The sequence below is a fragment of the Homo sapiens genome, chromosome 8 (genome assembly GCF_000001405.40).
Source record: "Homo sapiens chromosome 8, GRCh38.p14 Primary Assembly".
Taxonomy (NCBI): Eukaryota; Metazoa; Chordata; class Mammalia; order Primates; family Hominidae; genus Homo; species Homo sapiens.
This window is the reverse complement of record NC_000008.11, coordinates 117,070,585-117,092,081: the sequence shown is the minus strand read 5'-3', so window position 1 is coordinate 117,092,081 and position 21,497 is coordinate 117,070,585. Positions and strand designations below refer to the sequence as shown.

General features: G+C 38.4%; 1 protein-coding gene and 1 long non-coding RNA gene across 8 annotated transcripts in view; one reads left to right on the top strand and one right to left on the bottom strand.

Moving 5' to 3' along the window:
* Positions 1–7,645, top strand: part of LOC105375716 (uncharacterized) — a 436,284-nt gene extending 428,639 nt beyond the window's left edge. For all 4 annotated transcript variants that reach the window (XR_007061067.1, XR_928569.3, XR_007061068.1 and 1 more), the window contains one exon: positions 5,413–7,645. This is a non-coding gene — a long non-coding RNA (uncharacterized LOC105375716). The remainder of the gene's footprint in view (positions 1–5,412) is intronic.
* Positions 1–21,497, bottom strand: part of SLC30A8 (solute carrier family 30 member 8) — a 226,498-nt gene that overhangs the window by 84,633 nt on the left and 120,368 nt on the right. The gene's annotated exons all lie outside the window — the stretch shown is intronic.

Sequence of the window (21,497 nt, the reverse complement as noted above, 5' to 3'; positions counted from 1 at the left end):
AATGATGAGTAAAGAAAAAGAAGGATGCGTTGTCCTTTCTTTCCCATTCCTTCTATGTCATCATTTTCAGCATAATACAGGGAAGTATGTAAGAAAAGACATGATGGGATTCCTTGGTCTTTTATGTTTATTTGAACACCATTGCCTGTCCCTAAGAATCATAGTGAGGACCCTGTGTGCATTTTCTCTATGCTATATATGTGCACAATGCATTAGCAATTGGATCAGCCCTGAAACTGACATCAAAGTCTAGGTCAACTGAACTGTTTTCACATAGCCCACAGAAATACCTTCATTTTCTTACCTTATGAGATTGTGGCTTATAAGGTAAGCCACATATATATTGTGGCTAGAAATAAAGTGAAGAAAGACAATGAGGGAAATACATAACGGGATTTCTGAGGCCAGTTTTTATTCATCTATTTCTAGTCCCAAGGGTTTAAAGCAGATTAAAAACAAACAAAGATCCTGACCATTGTGGCTCTGTGGGGTCCACAGGGTTTATTTCCCTTACCACCAAGATAATTCAATTCAACAAATATTATTTAGTTTTACCATACGCTTGCCATGACAATCCCAAGACCATCTACGGAGGCAGGGCAGAAACTGAAAGCTGCCTGGAGATCAAGCTTTTCTTCCTGGGAAACACACAGATATTTAGTAAAATGGAATAAAGGACTTCTGAAAGAGAAAAAAAATGGATTCTGTACAGGAAACTAGAGAGATTCTGTACAGGAAACTATGTCCCCATCTTCAGTGTGTACAAAATTACACACTTCCTCACCCTGAAACTGGTTTTGTTCATGCCCCGTTCAAGATACATTACAGCAAGAAAGGGAAACTGGGGCAGATTAAGAGAGCCTTGGCTTTCTGTCCCTTGCACTCATTGAAGTTAGGGGTGTTACACCATGAAGAGCTAGCAAGAGATTCTAGAAAGATTTCTGTGATTTTGCCTCAGGAGCAGGTGCTGAGATGAAGTGGCTCTGCCAATCTAAGTGCAAAAAAAAAAAGATGTTTTCAGATTAATGATTAACCTAATCTTGCTGTTTCTGTGTTCTAAGAGTGAAGAAAAAATTCAAAAAGTGGTTTATTCATCCATTTATTCCAGACATATTTTATGAACACCTACTTTATATGTCAGGTACTGAACTGGGTGTTGCAAAAACACAAAACAATAAAACCAATAAGACATTGGTTTTGCCCAGAGGGTACTCTAAGTCTAGTGGGAGAGACATTCACATAAAAAGCAAATTAAATGCAATGTGACAAATACAGAGAGCTAAGTATGGCTGCCATGGGACATCTTAAGGGCTGGCAACAAACCCAGTGCCCAGGCATTTAGTGGCTCTGCTATGGAATGAATGTGCTTTCCCTAAATTCATATGCTCAAATCTTAATCCCCAATGTGATGGGATTAGGAGGTGAAGCCTTTGGTATGTGCTTAGATCATAAGGGCAGAACCCTCATTAATGGGATTAGTGCCCTTATTAAGAAACCCTAAGTAGCTCTCTCACCCTTTCTACCCAGCAAGGAGATGGCCACCTAGGAACAAGGAAGCAAGATCTCACTAGACAACAAATCTGCCAGTGCTTTGATCCAGGACTTTCAGTCTCCAGAACTGTGAGAAATACACTTCTTTTGTTTATGTTACCCAGTCTATGATAGTTTTTTACAGTAGCCCAAACAACAAAGACAGGCTCCTTACACAGAAAGGCTCCTTAATAAATATTTAGTAAATGCACAAATGAATGAGTAAATGAAGCAAAGGCTTCTTAGAGGAGTTAGTAGATAAAGCTAGTCTTAAAAATTTATTAGGAGTTGGCCAGGTGCAGTGGCTCATGCCTGTAATCCCAGCACTTTGGGAGGCTGACCCAGGCAGATCACAAGGTCAGGAGTTTGAGACCAGCCTGGCCAATATGGTGAAACCCCATCTCTACCAAAAATACAAAAATTAGCCAGGCATGGTGGCAGATGCCTGTAGCTTGGGAGGCTGAGGCAGAAGAATCGCTTGAACCTGGGAGGCAGAGGTTGCAGTGAGCCGAGATCATGCCACTGCACTCCAGCCTGGCCAACAGAGTGAGAATGTGTCTAAAAAAAAAAATTATTAGGAATTATCAAGATTGTTTCAGGAAGAAAGAACACGTGTAAAATCCCAAGTGCAGAAGGCAGCAAGGCATGTCCAGGAAAACCCAAAGAGATAAGTGTGGCCAGACTGTAGGGTGTGCAAAAGGGAGAGGTAAGCAATGTGCATGAGGAAGTGAGCAAGAGTCAGTTATGGTGGAGCTTCGTAAGTCATGCTGGGGTACTGGACTTTACAGAAAGGGCAATGGGAGCCCATAAAAGAGTAGAAAGAAGGAGGAAAGAGGTGTGATTGATTTGTGTAGTAGGAAGCTCATTCTGGCTGCAGTGTTAAGTATACATTGCAGACAGCTAGTATATGAATACAGGGATGCTAGCTGAGCCTTGCCATAATCCAGATTGTCATCAGAGATAATGACTGCCAATGGAGGCAGTAGTGGGGATGGAGAGAAGTGAAAATGCCCAAGGGATATTAAAAAGTACAAACATAAGAGTTTCTGATGACTGGGTATTGGGATGTGAATGAAGCAGGAGTCAGATTTCAGATTTGGGCAAGTAGTCAATGTTGGCACCATTTCTGAAATAAGAATCCACCATTGCCCCCATAAAAAAGAATCTTGTTTGGGGAGATGGGAGATGCAAAATTCAGCTGGGAATATGGTGGGTTTGAGGTTGCTAAGGAAAACCCATGCTGAACTATTGGGTAGTTTGTCAGTTATATAAGTCAAGAGCTATGGAATTTGGGGCTAGAAAAAATATTTAGAGAATTTCATATATATTTAAAGTTGTGTAATTAGAAAAGCCCACCTAGGTAGATTGTACAGTGAAAACCAAAGAGGCTAGAAAATGGAATACCAACACAAATACAGTGGAGCAAATGAAAACCTGAAAGGAAATAAAATGGAAGTTTACCCAAAGAGTGTAATGTCACAGAAACCAAGGAAGGGAGTACTTCAAGGAGGAAGACACCAACACGGTGAAATATGCAGTGAGGACAAGTAGGATAAGAATGTATGCATGTTCAAGTGGATTTGGGAGAAAGAAGATTACATATCACCTTGGTGACAGGACTTTTAGCTCATTACCTGGAATGGCACACATGGATACATTCATGTGCTACCTCCAGCACTGGGTGCAATATCAGGATCCACCTACCAACCAACGTCATCTAATACAGTCAGCCAAATACAAGCTCTGCCTCCAACATCTGGACTCAACAGTATCCCATCACCATCTGTGAAATCATAGGGTCTACGTGCACACGGGGTACTTGGAAAAACATGTGTATTACCTAAAGGTGTTGAAAGCTTTACGGGGTTTACTTAAGCATAATTTTTTAATTGTCTTTTCAGGAGCTAGCAGACAGGAAAACAAATTTGTCTTAAATACCCCAAGTTTATAGGCTTCTCACCCCTCGGCAGCTGCAACTGGCAAATCTAGTTTACAGAAATGGGAGATGAGGGAGATGTGCACGTTTTTCACTGTCGGAACTTGAGAGGCAGTGATGGAATACTTACGAAGTAGCAGCTCTCGGCAGGTATTTGGGTTATTAATGTGCATGGTTGGAAGGCTGTAGCTTTCTAATTTGAAAGAGGTCTACTAACAGTAATACTGGACTCCAGGAATAAGGGGGGAAACCTGGGCATCTGCATTGTACTGAATGTTTACAAACTTTCAGTTTCTTCTAATTTATAGGATCAGTTTTCTACGTTTCTTTAGCACTTTCCCTTACATTTGTATAGTAGAGGGGAATGTTGCACATAAAACAATCATAGGGTCAGGGGGTCTTCATGGCAAAGCCTTTAGGTATCAGCTACCCATGCAATTTTTCTCACCTGTCCAAGTTCTTTCTTGGCTTTCTGGATCTCTGCCTTATGCATTCTCTCTGTTTGTTTCTCTTTCTCTCTCCCTCCATTCTCTCTCTCTCCTTCCCTTGTCCCTCCTCCCTTTCTCCTTCCCTCTCTCCATTCAATCATCCTTTTTTCCTCCCTTTCTTTCCCACTTGACACATTTACCTTTCTTCCTCTCTGTTCATCTCTCTCTCCCCCACCGCCTACTTTCTTTCTTTCCTCCCTGTCTCCCCATCTCCCCTTCAGGGTAAGATAGCTACACAGGAAGAAGTAGAAGACAGAAATCAGACTTAATACTGTTTATATAAGTCTAAAATGAATATAAAAAACTTTTTAGACCTGGAACCAGGAAACATTAAAAAGAAGCAATAGATCTGCCTAGAAGTATGGGACAATAAGCCACCTACCCTATTATGAGAGGGTACAGCTGACACTGAGCCAGAGAAAAGTATCATCAGTTGCTAAGAGTGGCATATAATGAGGTAGAAATGTCAGAAGTCCCTGAATCAAAAAAAATCTAAGATTGGAGTTCCAGAAACTCATAGAGAGTACCAAATACAGCAAGACAAATAAGATCTGTGAATAACACAGGGAAAATATAGAAGATTAGAAAAAAAAAGACGAAGCCAGCTTGAAAGGTAGTATGATATCATACAGGCTTAGCTAGAATTGCTTGAACAGAACAGAAAAAGGAAAGATGGCCCAAGGAATTAAAAATGATGAGCCACCTCAGATGAAGGCTGAGAGAGGAAAACATATCCCAAGACAGATTAAATGTGCTTTCCTAATACATTTTTGTGGTCATCGGTTGCCACACTAGCTAATTAAATACCTAACTATCATCTGCTTCATAATTTAACCTCATCCTTGGGCATCAAGTTCTGGCTCTCTATGAAATGGTTTCTCTTTTCCTACTAATGTAAATTACCACTGTTGACTTTCTATTTGACCACAGCACAGCTTCTTAGATCCCAGACAAAGCTGAATGCCAATCACGTACTGTTTTTTCCTTCAAAGCTACCATATCCCTAGATTCCATTTCCGAGAAATCCCATTATAACCCCAGATTTTCTGTGTTAGAATATGTTTTCCATAGAGTTTACCTCTAAATGCTGACCCTGAAGAAGGAGATAGCCATGTGAAATGCCTATATACATACAGCCAGCAGCAAAGAAAGATAAAATATTGGTGGGGACAATTAATTTGTGTCTAAGATGGTTTTCACTTACAGCTCTTTGCACTCATTTTGATACTTTATTTTCTCCTGATCCATCTATGAATGTTAGATTTTATTAGTGATTCTAATTCCTCACAATTTGCCCATGCCATCAGGATGAGTAGAGTGTACTTTCCAGCCACTTGACTTTAAGCCTAGTCATGTGACTTGCCTTGATCAACACAATGTTAGTAGATGTGGCATAAATAGAAATTTGAACTGTGTTTGCATAGTTTAACTTCCTGTCTTGTGTTTCTGTCTTTATAGATGAGAAGAATACACCTTGGCAGCTGCTGGATCAAGGCAAATGAGAGACCCATGGAGCTCACTAAATCCAACTCTACAGCTTGGAGCTAAGCCTAACTTAGCCAAGTCTAAACCAGTTTGACCTCAGCCAATTCACAGATGTTTGAGCCAGAAGTAAGGTGCTTGTTGCTGGAAGCCAGTTAAATTTTGAGATCTTTTTGAAAAATATATTGTCATTGCAGACATAGATGCACATAGTTTTCCACACTGTGGGAAGTCAAATTAAGCATGCTTAGACTTTTAAAGCAGAAGCCCATTATTAGTGGGGTGGCAAAAATGTTACAAGTGACATAGTCCTCCAATTTCCTTCTTCTAGCCCTCTGCCTAAGAACTAGTGTACTTCATTTTGAAGTGGAGCCCTAACGGGAGTGTTCATCTTCTGTCAACAGGGTTAAGCCTCTTGACGCTTACTGGGCACTCACAGTTGTTAGTTCCCTGGAAGACATGAAAGAGCTTGATTGGTTCTGTAGTCGTCAGTCAATAACCAACTGTAACATACCTACACTTCCAACAAAATCTTGATTTGGGAAATTGAGTGTCTGCTTATAGTTAATCCTCTATTTTTTGACACCTAGTAGGAAAAACATTTTCAAAAGAGCCATGACCTGACTCAGTTAATATGCAAGGAAAAATAAGCAGTTCCAAACTTGTCAGTTTATCCATCATCCCTTATCCAAAATCCTTCAACTCTCTTGGAATTATTTTGTTCTTCATACTTGCCCAACAAATATCTTACTCTTGTCTTGGACTTTATTTTATAGTTATCTCACATAAGCTCCTTGTGGCTAAGGGCACATATTTGGAATCAGACTACCCTAGTTCAACTCTTGGGTCTACCATTTATTAGCTTGTATTACTTTGGGAAAGATAATTAAATTCTCCAGATCTAATTTCCCCCATTATAAGATAATAATAGTTATTACCTGCTAGGATTGTCTTGAGAAGTAAATTAGATAATTCATAAGAACCATTTAACACAGTGCCAGCCACATAATGAAGGCATAGTAAGGGAAAGTTATTATGCTGTTGATAATACTTGTCTAGGCAGGGGTCTCATATTTTTCCCTGTATCCATTACTGTACAATTCATCTGTCCCATGACATTCTAAGATTGTTTTAGAGTGAGTTGCTTCAGAGTTGAATAATTCTAATAATATATTCTCATGTTTGGAAACAACTTGGAATTCCATTTAGTGTAGACATCAACAATGAAATCGCTAGAGGATGAGTAATTTCTACAATTTTTATTCATTATAGAGAGACCAATGGGTATAATGGTGAAAAGAACTGAGTAGAAGGTCAGGAGGTCAAAGAGACTGAGTTTAAACCCTCACTCTGCTGAGTACTGTTAATAATGGTATGATCTTAAGAGAACTAATCTTTAGTTTTTCCCACCTTAAAAACAGAGTTGTCATGAGTATTTAATAATAGAGGGTAGTATGTAAACTTCCTGGCATATAGCAACTGCTCAACAAATAGAAGTTATAGTTTTTTCTTAACTTGCCAAAGAGCCAAGGGAAAAATGAAGATTTTGTAGCCAAAGCCATTTATCTTTCTCTGTTATGTGCCTATCTGTTCCAGAAACAGAATCAATTCCTTGAACCTCATCAAAGGAAGGATTTGAACATTTAAAAAAAAATCAATCTCTTTGGGTTTGTTATTGCTTGTTTCCCATACCTCAGAGACACAAATACAAACCTTTATAATGTCATCAGGAAGAAGAGGAGTCAAACACTCCTTAACTCAATAATTGCAATGTTATTATTTTGCAAGGAATAGAGTCAAAATTCCATTCACATGAGGACTGTAACTTCTTCATTACTCCTTGAGGCACGATGTCCTTGATTTTAAGTAGCTCATGTAGAAACTAGTTGTAAGTCTTTAGCGGAGAGACTGTACTGGAATTATAGGATCTACTTAGGGGTTTGAGCTTCCCCACCCACTTAGAGTGACAGTTCACACCTATAAAAACACAAAAGTCCGGGGGTTTATTAAACATTAGGAGATCCAAAGAGCCAAGACTTCTACCTGTAAAAGTGGTGCTTCCTAAGCAGAAGAAATGGAATTTCTCAGAGAATACAGCTTGGCTTGACCAATGGACTGTACAAGGAAGATTAGGAGGTAATTACTGGGGTAAAAGAGAAATGGTTGCATCTTTCTGGAACACTCTAATAAAACTGAAAGTTTTTCCTGATTTCTTCTTTTATTTGATACAAGGGTCAAATTTGATACATAAAGTCATAATGTCCCACATGTACTTCTCAGGAACATCTGTTTAGTCCTACTACAAAACTTGGGGAACATGGTTTCCTAATGTGGTACCAGTCGTCTCTTCATGGATGACTTCAGGAAGAAATTCTGACTGGCAGACTCCACAAGTATAAGACAATAAGAGGCCAATTTCTTTATTCTTCTCCTCTTCTCCGCTTGTCCCCCCACCTCATTAGCTTTGGGAGAATAACACAGTGTGGAACAGAAAAATAAGGAGCCTTGTTGTACTTCATTGGCCTCAAGAGGTCTCATCTATTAAATAGATCCATTATGTTACTCTCAGAGAAAATTATAGTCAAAAATATTTCAAGTTTTAGGGCAGTACTGAATATATAAGGGCTCTGTTACTTAATCTCTGTGCTCTTATCTTGGGGCGGCAAAGCTCAGTAGGGCTATCTTGAAAGTAGCCTGAAATCAATTGGTCAGATGAAATCAATTGGTCAGGAGGAGCCCATCAGGAGGATCAAGGACATGGGTGACACAGTGAGTGTAATTATTAGTCAGGATAGGTTAGGTTAGGCATTAGTGGCAAATTATCTCCAAATCTCAGTGGCTTGGTACAATAAAGGCTTATTGCTTATTCATGCAGCATGTCTACTGCAGGTCCACAAGGGCTCTGTTCCACTCACAGATCCAGATTGTAACATTCTTTGCCATCTCATAGCTACATGATCTAAACATCAGCAGAAGGAAAGTGTCTTGGGTCAGGCTACCTGGAAAACAGATCAAGATAAAGATTTCTGTGCAAAAAGGTTATTGGGGAGGGAACTCTAATTGATATCTGCCAGGGATAGTGCAAGAATGGTTGAGCAGACAATTGTTGAACTACTTACTATGTATGTAGTAACAACAAAGGTCTTGACCAACCCAAAAGGGAGTCCTGGAGCTCAAATGGTTCTTCACAGTTCTCTCACCTTAAGGCAAGGGACCTGGGCCTTTATTATCCCTTATCAACCAGTCATTTGATTAGCTTGACCCCAGAGAGAGGTTATGACCTTGAGTAAAGTGGCTCTCCTCTACTGAGGATAATTCCAGGAGAGCAACTCAGCTGAGAGCTGTCAGCAATGGGAGGAATCAGAGTCTCAGTCCTGAAGAGCAGATCTGGGCAGCATATCATAGCATCCACCACAAGGGGGAAAGTGCGTGCACTTTTCATTGCCTCCACCTGGGAGTGACATATGCCATTTTTTGCTGTCATTTCAATGACCAAAAGGAGTCACATGATTCTAATTGGAAGGAACCTGGGAAGTGTGGGGAAAGTAAATGGAATATTTGGGAAGGATCATTATTTCTGCCACAATGGAGAAGAGATGTCCCTCCGGAGCTACTCGTTTCTACATCCAGTGGTGTGATGTCTTTTAGTCACGGTCATAATACAGGTTCTGTTTTGCACTTGGCATCCAATGACTTTGTAATCACTTGTCTGGTTTCTGCCTGCTTTTCCTGAAAACTGCTTAGCCTCCTTTCCTTCCAGCTGCAAGATCAGACCCTTCTCCTGAGCTCTTGTCCTTGTCTTGTCTAGGCATCAAGTCAAACTTCCTAGTGCTTTTTTTTCTCTTCTGGTGCTCCAGTTCAAACAAAACAAAAATCAAAAACAAAACAGGCTCGTTCTCTAGTCCTGACTGAACACTTCTTACATTATCGTTTCTCCCAAACTAAGGCTTTCTCTGTCAGTCCTCTCTGTTGATTCAGAGTCCTGAACTCTACATTATTCTAGTAGGTCCTATCACATGACATTCACTTCTTTTCAAATTGTCTACTCTTATCTTCACATCATCATGATCAATATCCTTACCTGGACATCTGCCAACTGCCTTTTGTTGGATCTTCTAGACTGTTCTCTCTAACCACCCACCTGGTTGAATTTTTGGTACCTGAAAACCCTGAAGCACTGGAACTCAGCCAAGACCACTACACTGAGATAAAAAGAAATAAATACCTTCTCAACCTTAAAATTCTTTGAAAGTGCATTTTCTGTGATCAGCTATTTTTTTTTCTCTTTTAATCATTTGGTTCTTTCTTGCTGTCTCTGTATATACACATTACTTTTCATCATTAGGGAGTCATTACATACTTCATCTAGACAGTGCCTTGTGCTTTAAAGACCTAGACCAATTATAATTAAAGCAGGGTATGGATCACTGCATACATGGTATTAGTCCTTGGACACTCAGTAGCTATTCACCTACTTTAATAATTGACTGAGACTATTGATTCTTTAAATATAACTATATGTTTCTATCTTAGTGGAACCAATTACAGTTAATAAGTCTATTGAAGAATAGCTGACCTCTCAAAACTTGACTTATTCTATCTCAGGGACTCAGGAGATAACTAATGACAACTAAATGACTTCTGACCCATGTCTGACTGAGGCTGGGCTACTACTTGAGTCCAGCTCCAACATTCTCTATTTGCAGTGAAATGGTACCTAGAGGAAGAGAGAGAGCAGGAGAAGAGCAGAAAATGGTGACAGAACAACCCATTGTTGTGAATCGGCAATTATTGCCTATTTGATCCAGACTTCACAAACAGATAGCTGGCCACAAACACATATTTTTGTTATTAGGTGACAATTTTTGAAATTGGAAGACTTTACTTAAAAACTTGTATTCCAAGTGTGAATTGAAAAGGCAGACCTGACAATGCCAAGTCCTCCTTCCTTGTGGCAGTAATTAATGGGGGCCAAATAGGGGAGGGTCTCCTTCAAAAGGACAAGAGAATGCTCATTCTCCAGGTCACCAGAGCCCCACTATATCCCTTTATTAGGGACTGAATTGCAGTCCTCCAAAATTCATATGTTGAAGTCCTAGCCTCAACATGACTGTATTTGGAAATAGAGATTTTAAAGAGGCAATTAAGGTTACATGAGGCCATTAGGGTAGAGCCCTAATCCAATCTGACTAATGTCCTCACAAAAAGAGGAAGAGATGCCAAGGATGCTTGCACACAGAGAAAAGTCATGTGAGAACACAGTGAGAAGACGGCCATCTGCAAGCCAAGGAGAGTGGCTACAGGAAAAACCAAATCTGCCCACGCTTTGATCTTGGTCTTGCAACCTCCAGAGCTGTAATATTTCTGTTATTTAAGCGCCCCAGTCTGTGGTGTTTTGTTATGGCAGCCTTGGTAGACTAATACATTCACTGTGCCCTCAACATCTATCACCATGCCTGCACTTTAGGGTTTTTCTCCCACACCCTGATCTTTTCACTCATTACCTGCCTGAGTACAGTTTGTCACCCATGATATCAATTTCACCAATAATAAGATGCAGATGACTCTGCAGTTTACAAAAAATGACTTTGGAGGAAGATATTAAAGTAAATAAAATGAAACAAGATTAAATATTTAGGTGAAAACAGTTTCTACTAAGATAGATATTTTTGTCACAAAACAGACCATCACAAAATTTTAACAGTAAATTAGTCCAACCACTGTGGGGAGCAGTTTGGAGATTTCTCAAAGAACTAAGTATTGAACTACCATTTGACCCAGCAATCCCACTACTAAGTATAAACCCAAAGGAAAAGAAATTGTCCTAGCAAAAGGATGCATGTACCCGTGTGTTCATTGCAGCACTATTCACAACAGCAAAAACATGGAATCAACCCAGGTGCCCAACAATGGTGGACTGGATGAAGAAAATCTGATACATATATACCATAGAATACTATGCAGCCATAAAAAAGAATGAAATCATGTTCTTTGCAGCAACATGGATGCAGCTGGAGGCCATTATCTTAAGCAAATTAATCCAGAAACAGAAAAACAAATCCCACATGTTCTCATCTACAATTGGGAGCTAAACGCTGGGTACACATGGACATAAAGATGGGAACAATAGGCACTGGGGCCTCCTAGAGGAGGGAGAGAGGGAGGGGCAAGGGCTTCTCACTATGCTCACTACGTGGGTAAGAGAGTCAATCGTTCCTCAAACCACAGCATCACACAGTATACCTTTGTAACAAACCTGTGTTTGTTACACAGGGGATACGTGTGTATCCCCGAATCTAAAATAAAAATTGAAAAAGAAAAAATAATTAAAAAAATAAAAGGTATGCGCCAAATGTTAACAGTAGTTATTTCAAGAAAGTGGAAATATGAATTGTTCTTATATTCAGTTTTGCTTCTGTATGCTCTACTTTTTCTATAATGACCATGGATTATTTGTAAAACAAGAGTAAAAATGAATCTTAAAAAAAAGATTTTTAAAAAATTGTACCAGATATCAGGTTAAGAAAGATAGGGTGGTTAAGATCACTGATTGAGAAGCAAAAAGAAAAGAAAATTCTGAGTTCGCTCCTTGTCTGTACTCCATTTCCTTACTTTAAAATGAAGATAGTGATGTAAGGATGCATCCAATGTACACCAAGTGCAGAGTAGAGGGCCTGGAACAAACACGACCAAAGTAATTAGAGATATTTGTTCTGTTAGGATTCTGGATGCTTTTAGCTACACATAACAGAAATTTCAATTCAAGTTAGTCTAAACAAAAAAGAATTGACTCAGTTTAACAACGGGGAATTCAAAATTATGGTGCGTTTTGCAGTTGACTTACTCTCGTAGCCCCAGTTGTCTGTTTCTCTATAGCTGTTTTAGATCTGTTCCTTACTATGGACCCACTCCATCCTCAGGCAGGTAGCTAAATAGCTGTGGCAGTGCTGGGCTTCATAGTCTGGAAACATATATATTTTCCTATATCTTCATCTTTTTCCAGAAGTACCCATCAACTTATCTTTATACCCCATTGGGTCAAATGCCCATGCTATTTCCTTGTTCTTAGGGGAAATATCATGATCTGATTGGCTTAGCCCTGGGTTCCTGAACCCATCATTAGCAAGGAGAATAGTACAATGAAGCTTAAAATAATCAAACGTCACTGCTAGAGTTCTGAAGGGTTAGTTTACCCTGAGACACAGGGGCTACTTGGTGGAGGTGCTAGATATGTGAACAAAATAAAGATCCTTTTATGGTGGAAGAGAAAAGCCACGTAGGCAACCAACAATGACTACTATGTGAATATTTTCATTAGTAAAAGGAAGAGAATTCAGGCTGGGTGTGGTGGCTCACTCCTGTAATCCCAGCACTTTAGGGGGCCGAGACAGGCAGATCACCTGAGGTCGGGAGCTCAAGACCAGCCTGGCCAACAAGGCGAAACTGTCTCTACTAAAAATACAAAAATTAGCCAGGCATGGTGGCCCGCACCTGCAATCCCAGGTACTGGGGAGGCTGAAGCAGGAGAATCACTTGAACCGGGGAGGCGAAAGTTGCAGTAAGCCGAGATCATGCCACTGCACTCCAGCCTGGACGACAGAGCAAGACTCTGTCTCAAAAAAAAAAGACAAAAAAGAGAAAAGAAAAAAGAGAATTCAGGCCAGGCACATTGGCTCACACCTTTAATCCCAACACTTTGGGAGGCTAAGGCAGGTGGGTCACTTGAGCCCAGGAATTCAAGACCAGCCTGGGCAACATGGTGAAACCCCACCTCTACAAAAAATAAGAAAATTAGCTAGGTGTGGCGGCATGCACCTATAATCCCAGCCACTCGGGAGATTGAGGTGGGAGGACCACCTGCGCCCAAGGTAGTGGTGGCTGCACTAAGCTGTGTTCATACCACTGCATTCCAGCCTGGACAACACAGTGGAATAAAAGAAAAAAGACAGAATTCATAACTTTTGGAATTGTCTTACTTAAACCTTTTGATGTGCTAAGTGACATAATATAAATATATCAGCTAATTTAATCTTCACCACAGTCCTATGAGATGAACTTTATGATGCCCACTTTGCAGATGAGGAACTGAGTGTAAGAGAGGAATGTCATGGTTTTAAAATCTAGAAAGTAGCTACATGCATGGACTCAGCAACATGGGGGAAAAAAAGAAAAAAAAAATCTAGAAAGTAGCCAAAAGTTAGAATCACATCTCTGTGACTTCATTCCTTTTATGTAAAATGAGAACAGCAATAGCACCTATCTCATAGGGTTTTGTGAAAACTAAATGAGTTGATACATGTGGCCTGCTTGGAAGAGTGTCTGGCACTTAGGAAGCAAGCAGTAGGACTAGAATTTTCATTACTTCATTTCATGGAATCTAACTATCCATCAATGGGAAGAAATTCCATTACTGTGGGACCTCTAAGAAAGAAAGAAAAATATCCTGCTAATTAAACTATAACCTAAGACTGCCTTATCACTTAGAATTTTTATATTATATTTATTGGAAGAATGGTTTTGGCTTAATTAATCATAGATTTTTATCATAAATTACTTTTGTGCATACATGAAAAGGAAAATGTAAGAGAAATAAACTGGTTAAGGTATTCCTGACATTTCTCTAAAATTCAGACTTAAATCTTCATCACTTTTTCACTGAGTCCTTAATATCCAACTTCTCCTACACAATATCAATCCGTGCCACGAAAAGTGCTAATGATGAAGTTGATAATAAAGTATTTTCTAAAATCCATATCAAAAACCAAGTTTACTTTAGGTCTTCTTAACATAGTTTTGCAATCATGTACAGCTAGTCTTCTTTGACTCGCTCTAGAAAGATTGCCAATAATCTGAACAATTGGTTTCTAGTGGTTAAAAAGAGTGATCCACTTCTGTCTCCAGGATTTTTTTCCAAGCTGTTGACATGCATTCAACAAATTTTGATGCTGACATCTTGAATGCATGTACAGGTCATGCCAACCACTTCACAACTGCTGCCTCCCTGAGAGATAATATAAAATGCCATCAATTAAAAGGTACATCCCAGTTTCAGAGATTTTAAGATAGGAGAGATATACATCTTACAGATGATGAAATAAAGTAGTCATATTCTTCATATTGGTTTTTCTCTTATTCTTATAGGTTTGCGTCCAAAGATCATAGGCCTTAGATTAAAACCAAAATCCAATGCCAATAGCACAGACATCAAAAAAGTTCAATTGAAAAAGTACCTTGTTTTATTGATTAGAGAAAATAAGCACAGAGATGCCTATACAAGCAACCATAAGATATTTTTTTCTTCTTTTTAGAATGATGAAAAGAATCAGAAGCTTGAAGTGCAAAAATATTGAAATTTCCATCTAAGGCTTTCCCTTTGTCACTATGAGCTAGAGCCCTGACATTGGTATTTTTAACAAGCTCCTCCGGGGATTCTGAGGCATCACCTTTATTGGGTGAATAGACTGCCAGTGGCCCATACTCACCTAGGTCACATAGGAGAGCTCAGACAGGAGTAACCTGGGAGGATATCCCAGTTTGCATGAGTGTAAACAGGTGGTCTATCAAGAGCTACATTTGCTAATAACTTTGCAGAACTGAAAAACATTCCAGTAGGTCTTCAAAAGTTTTATAATTACCTATGTCAGCCAAGAAAATTTAGAGAAATAGAACATACCCTACCAAGAGTCATCACAAGAGATCTTGTCTTCTTTTAATGCTGAAATATCCCTTCGGAAGACATTTTGCAAACATCAAGATCACCTTTGTTAATTGCTGCTACACTTTATTAGTTTAGTTCATCAGTCAATCAGTCAACAAACATCATTAATTCCTCCTCTTTGCCAGGCACTTTAATAGGTGCCGCCAAAAAAAAAAAATGACTATTTGACCCCTCTCCTCGAAGAAATCAGAGTCCAGTGGAGATAGATAAATAAGGTAATGATTAAAAAAGAGTGTGACATGTAGTTTAGTTGAAAGAAGAAAGAGTAACTGAATCCCAACCTAAAAACTGGAATAGGTGTGTCTTGGAGAAAGGAATACTTCCTGTGTTTAATTAATAATAGCCTGGTTCTTCCTGGAAGTTCCCACTCCACTTTTTTTTTCTCCCTCTTTCTTTAGATAATCAGAGTACAAGACAAGGGGGTAGGATGACTGTGGCAGAGAGCTCTGTAATTTTCTTCATTCATCTTGATGAGTAACTATTTCTCAAAATTCGCTGCAGTTTAAATTTCTAAAGCCAAGAAAAGGCAGAAGGAATGAATTTCATATCTGATTACCTTTGGTTGTCTTGCCTTCCCAAAGGGAAAAACTCTAGCTCTTCAATTTCAGTAAATACAGAAAAATAGACTTCTCCTCTTTAGACATTTATTTAACCAAAAATATTTGGAAGATGGTGTTACCTGGATGTTTTCATAGGAAATGCTTGGAATACATTTTATTGGCATATCTGGCATGATATAATAAAACTGAACAGCAGCTAGAAAGCTAAGGAACTCTAGCTGAAGGGGGTACAGAAAATTGTACTATTTAGTAACTTTTTAAAGTCTGAAATTATTTCAGAATTAAAATTGGTTTAAATACCAAAGAAAGAGAGAAAAGAAGAGAGAGGAAGAAGGAAGCAGGATTTCACCAGGGTGGGAAGGGCAAGAGAAAGTAATGAGAGAGGAAATTCTAGGTAAAGGTACACGGAGACACAAACCCATATTGTGTATCTGAATAACTACAAGTAGTCCGAAAGGCTGGAAGATGAGATATCTGAGACAGAGGGTACAGGGAAGAGACTAGACAAATGTGGCACAAGAGAGGCCAGATCATAGAGGAACTTCTACACCCTATCAAGGTTTTTTGCCTGCATGTTATAGGTTTCAAACTCCACTGAAGGGTTTGGAACATGAAAGTGACTTGATTACATTTGCATTCTACAAAGGTCATAGCTGTCAATATGAAGAACGGATTAGAGAAAGGTGAAGCTAAAGATGAGAAAACCAATAAAAAGACGATTTAAACAGTCCAAAAGACAATGTAGAAAGAAAAAATTGTAAACTCACCCAAACTTTCATATGAACTTGATTAAAATTGCATTTGAAGCCACAAAGCACATATCACAATGACATTTTATGAGAACTCTCAAGAGGAAAGGAAGTTGTTGGTATAAGAGTCCTTGAGACTGCAAAGCACTGGGCTAGAAATCCATGCTCTGTTATAAAAATATGGAAGAAGCTAAGAAATATTTACAAGCTCATTTTCATAAAAGAATGATAAAGAAAGAATCAGTCAAGTATATTGAAAAGTTAAACCTATAGTACTTCATATATTATTGTTTTAAACTTGAGATTCTGCCCAGTTAGCTAAAAGAGGGAGAAGGATTTCCAGTAATATTTTGCTTCCTAACCAGAAAGACATAGTTTTCTCCTATGAAATATAATTCTTAATTTCAAGGTTACTGCAAGCTTGTTTACTATGTTTGTGATCGTATGTCTTTGCTCACTATTTTTTTGTTATAGGAAGTTGTGTTTGCTAGATTATATTAGTTATAGAAATCAAGTTTATTCACTAAAATTGGATACTAACTTCTTTCTGTAACTTTTCCACTACATAAAGGCATGAATTAACTTGCTGGTTAGACAGTATTGACTGTTGCTGTTGGTTTTCTCCCTATAGACCTATTTAAGAAAAAAAAACTAATGCATAATTCCAAGACGTTCATTGTAAATCATGTACCGTTTGTTTCTCCCACAATGACAAGGGTCCTAACCTAGAACATAGGTGATAATGGAGAGAAAAAAACAGAATCAAGCAATTTTATAGAGGCAGATAAACGGATCTTACTATTTTAATGAGATATGAAGGATGGAAAAGAGTAAAGGGTATTACTAGATTTCTGTTTTAAGTGACAAGAAATACAGTGGTGTCATTAACCATGGTACAGTAGAAAGAGCAGGTTCAAAAGATGACGAGTATCACTTAAGACATACTGAACTGATGTGCCTTTAATTACATTTAAGGAGATATCGAGCAGATCACTGAAAATATGGATCTGAGGTCAAGGGGGAGACTGGGGTTGGTGATAAAGATTTAAATATTATCAATGTGTTAGTGACAGTGATGGCTATAACATCAATGCCCCCTGAAATAACGATTCTATACATCTGTATAGCATGTAGCAATTTTCAAAGCACACTTGCCTTATAATACTATCCCCTCTAAGGTAAGCAAGTCATATGTAGTTATTCCCATTTTATAGAAGAAAACACTAGGAACTAGACAACATAAAACTTGCCCAAATTCATGAGTCTATGCTAGAGTTTGGATTCTTAGATTTCTTTTGTTCCATGTTGACTCAAAATGAAACCATTGTATGCAAAGTCCACAGGAAGGGCCATGAGGCTTATAATACTGCGCCCTTCAAATTGAGTAAATCTAATCACTTAGAAACAAATATCAGATTCTCCAGTGCACTAAAATCATAACAAACACACACAAACGTGCATGCGTTTCATTCTTAAAGACCTTTAGGTAGTTATTACCTTCTTCTCACAGTTGGCATCTGTCTCCTTCTGGTACATTTTGAAGTCTTCCACCTTCTGTCACTGGGAAAGAAGAACCACCCCCACCCACCCGCCCCAATTAACCAAGTACGATGCTGCCTTCTACTTACTCTCCTGTGGCAAGAAAGATTAACTTTCCCAATGCCATCTACCTTAATTCATAAACAAGCAGAAAGAACAGAATGAGTAGACTGTCAGGTCCCACGTATCAACCCTATGAATTATTTGTGGAGGGCTGACGGGGAACTTAGGCAGGCACTAGATCACAGAAGAGCCATGTCATCCACTGTGCCATTGGGTTTTATGATCCATGTGACTCAGACCACAGTATTCTCTAGGCTAAAATAATATCTCTTTTGAGAAACTGGTTTAAACTTATAAGTAAGAGGATATTTATTTTCCAAAGGGAAAGAGTTTTGAATAGTTGAGGTGAAAATGGTACTGAATGAGACAGACCAGATTGCAGAGGAAATTTTTTAAAGAATAGTGGCCTATTTTAAGTCAAAAAGCAAGAACTATTTGTAGAGTAGAAAGAAGTATCGGCCAGGCACAATGGCTCATGCCTGTAATCCCAGCACTTTGGGAGGCCAAGTGGGGCAGATCACTTCAGATCAGGAGTTCAAGACTAGCCTGGCCAACATGGTGAAACCCCATCTCCACTAAAAATAAATCTAATCAAGTTAGCTGGGCATGATGGCACATGCCTGTAATCCCAACTACTCAGGAGGCTGAGGCATGAGAATTCCTTGAACCCAGGAGGAAGTTGCAGTGAGCCGAGATCACACCACTGCACTCCAGCCTGGGTGACAGAGTGAGACTCAGTCTCAAAAAAAAAAAAAAAAGTGAAAGAAATATTATAGTAACTAGAGAAGGAAACATAAGCAATGTTACTAACAAAAAGCTCTAGTCTTAGAAGTAGTGTGCACTCAAGCATGTAGAATTGCATCTACTTTACAAAGTGGAAAATGAACATTTTTCAACTAGAATCACAATGGTGGCTATGGAAATGCAGCAAAATGATCCAAAAATCAAAAGATATAAAGCAACCTCAGCAACTGAAATAAAGTTCCAGACACAACACTACTCTCACATCACACATAAATGTCAGACACAGTATATTTTATACCAAAGACCACATTAAATTTAATGGAAATTTTACATGTGCAAGGACTCTAGAGTTTGGATACATGAAATAAAGATTTGAATTGCTAATCCTAAAAACTGGACAAAAAATCCCCTGTATTTGAAAAAAAAAAAAAAAAAGTAGTAGGATTTGGGGGTTTGAGCAGTTTTTTTCTTTGGTAGGGGGTGAAATTGCTATTGGCTTATGAAGATGTTCTCAGTTGGGCTTCATTTTTTATGTCCCTTTAATGTAGAGACTGACAAAACAGCTCACATAGATGGGTCTATAAAACATCTGGGAATGAATGAGGAAAATAAAATCAAAGGTAGGTGATGACAATAAAATAAAATACTGTGGAGAAAAAAGTAGGATATTGTGAAGGAAAGTCAGAAAAAGGACTTAAAGTAAGAAAGAAATATAAAGAACTGGAAAATCTTATTGTGGTTGTATGATGAATGTTATCCTTGATTAGATGTATACTAGGTATTAAGGATGAAACATTACCTCTTAGAAAATGCAAAAAGAAATAAACACAGGCATATTCTAATTTTTGGTGTCATTAGGGATAGGCTTTTAAAAATGTATTCACTATATCTGCATATTCCTAATAAAGGGTCAAATAAAGAGACAACTAACATATATCTTTTATGGATATATACTTGAATTCACTCTAGATGGTCAAATAAAGAGGCTGCTTTCAGAAAAGTGGGATGGGCGAGGGATTAAGCAGTGGATAGTGAGGCACAGAATGAATAACAAAAGTGGAAAGCTGTCACCAACCCTTAGCCAAAGTCAAAGGAAGAACATACAGCTACTTAGCAGGAACTGTAATCATGGTAACCCATAGATTTGGTGCCAAAGCAGTAAGAAATCAATCACCAGACCATTTTCTTCTCCAGCCCAGCCCTCCAATCGTATGTTAATGCCTCCGATAAACCAAAACCAATTGGAAGGAAGCTCCTGATGAGGAAGCTTGCAAAATACAGTCTGTAAGAGTTAGGCTCTTAGAACGCAGAACAAAACAAGGCAGAGAAGGGTGGGAGATAGGCTAATGGGAGATGAACAGAATAAAACAAGGCAGAGAAGGGTGGGAGATAGGCTAATGGGAGATGAACAAACAGAGAAAAACTAGCATGTTTATTAAAATGGTAAATCTAGTATACAGTTAATTTTGGATATTAAACTTTCATTTAACATGATATCAATGAGTATTTGAGGAATAAATAAAATTAGATCCTTATCTTACACCACATACAAAAATCAACTCAAAACCAATTACAGGCATAAATATAAGATGTGAAACTGTAAAACTACAAGAAGAAAACATGGTAGAAAAGCTCCATGGCATGGGTTGAGGCAATGATTTTTAGACATGACCCAAAAGCACAGGCAACAAAAGAAAAAATAGACAAACAAAATGGCATCAAACTAAAAATCTTCTGCACTGCAAAGAAAACAATTAACACAGTGAAGAGATAATCCACAAAATGAGAGAATATATTTGCAACCCATACTTCTGATAAGGGGTCAATATCCAAAATATAATATTAAAAAGTCAATTAACTTAATAGCAAGAAAACAACCAAATTAAAACATGGGCAAAGGATCTCAACAGAAATACTTCAAAAGAAGATATAAAAATGGCCAATAGGCACATGAAAAAAAAGCTCAGCATCACTCATCATTAGGAGACTGCAAATTAAAAGTACAATAAGATACCACCTCAGACCTGTTAGAATGGCTCTCAACAACAACAAAAAAATGGACAATAAGTGTTGAAGAGGATATGGAGAAAAGGGAACTCTTGTATGTTGTTGGTGGGACTATAAATTAGTATAGCCATTATGGACAACAGTATGGAGGCTCCTCAAATAATTAAAAATAGAACTATCCTATGACCCAGTAACTCCATTTTAGAATATATAGCCAAAGGAACTGACATCAATATGTGGAAGGAGTATCTGCACTCCCATGTTCATTGCAGCATTATTCACAGTAGCCAAGACATGAAAACAACCTAAGTGTCCATCAACACCTGAAATGATAAAGAAAAAGTGATATATATACACAATGGAATAGTATTCAGCCTTAAAAAAGGAAGGCATCATGCTAAGTAAATAAGACAGCCACAAAAAGACAAATACTGCATGATCTCACTTATATGTGGAATCTAACAAAGTTGAACTCATAGAAGTAGAAAGTAGAATGATGGTTACATGAGGCTGGGGAAGTGTGAGAGAGGGAATGGAAAGTTGCTGATCAAAGAGTACAAAGTTTTAGATAGACAGGGGAATAGGTTTTGAGATATATTGCACAACAGGATGACTAAAGTCAATAATAACATATTACATAATATATTTCAAAATAGCTAAGAGGATAAATTTCAAATGTCT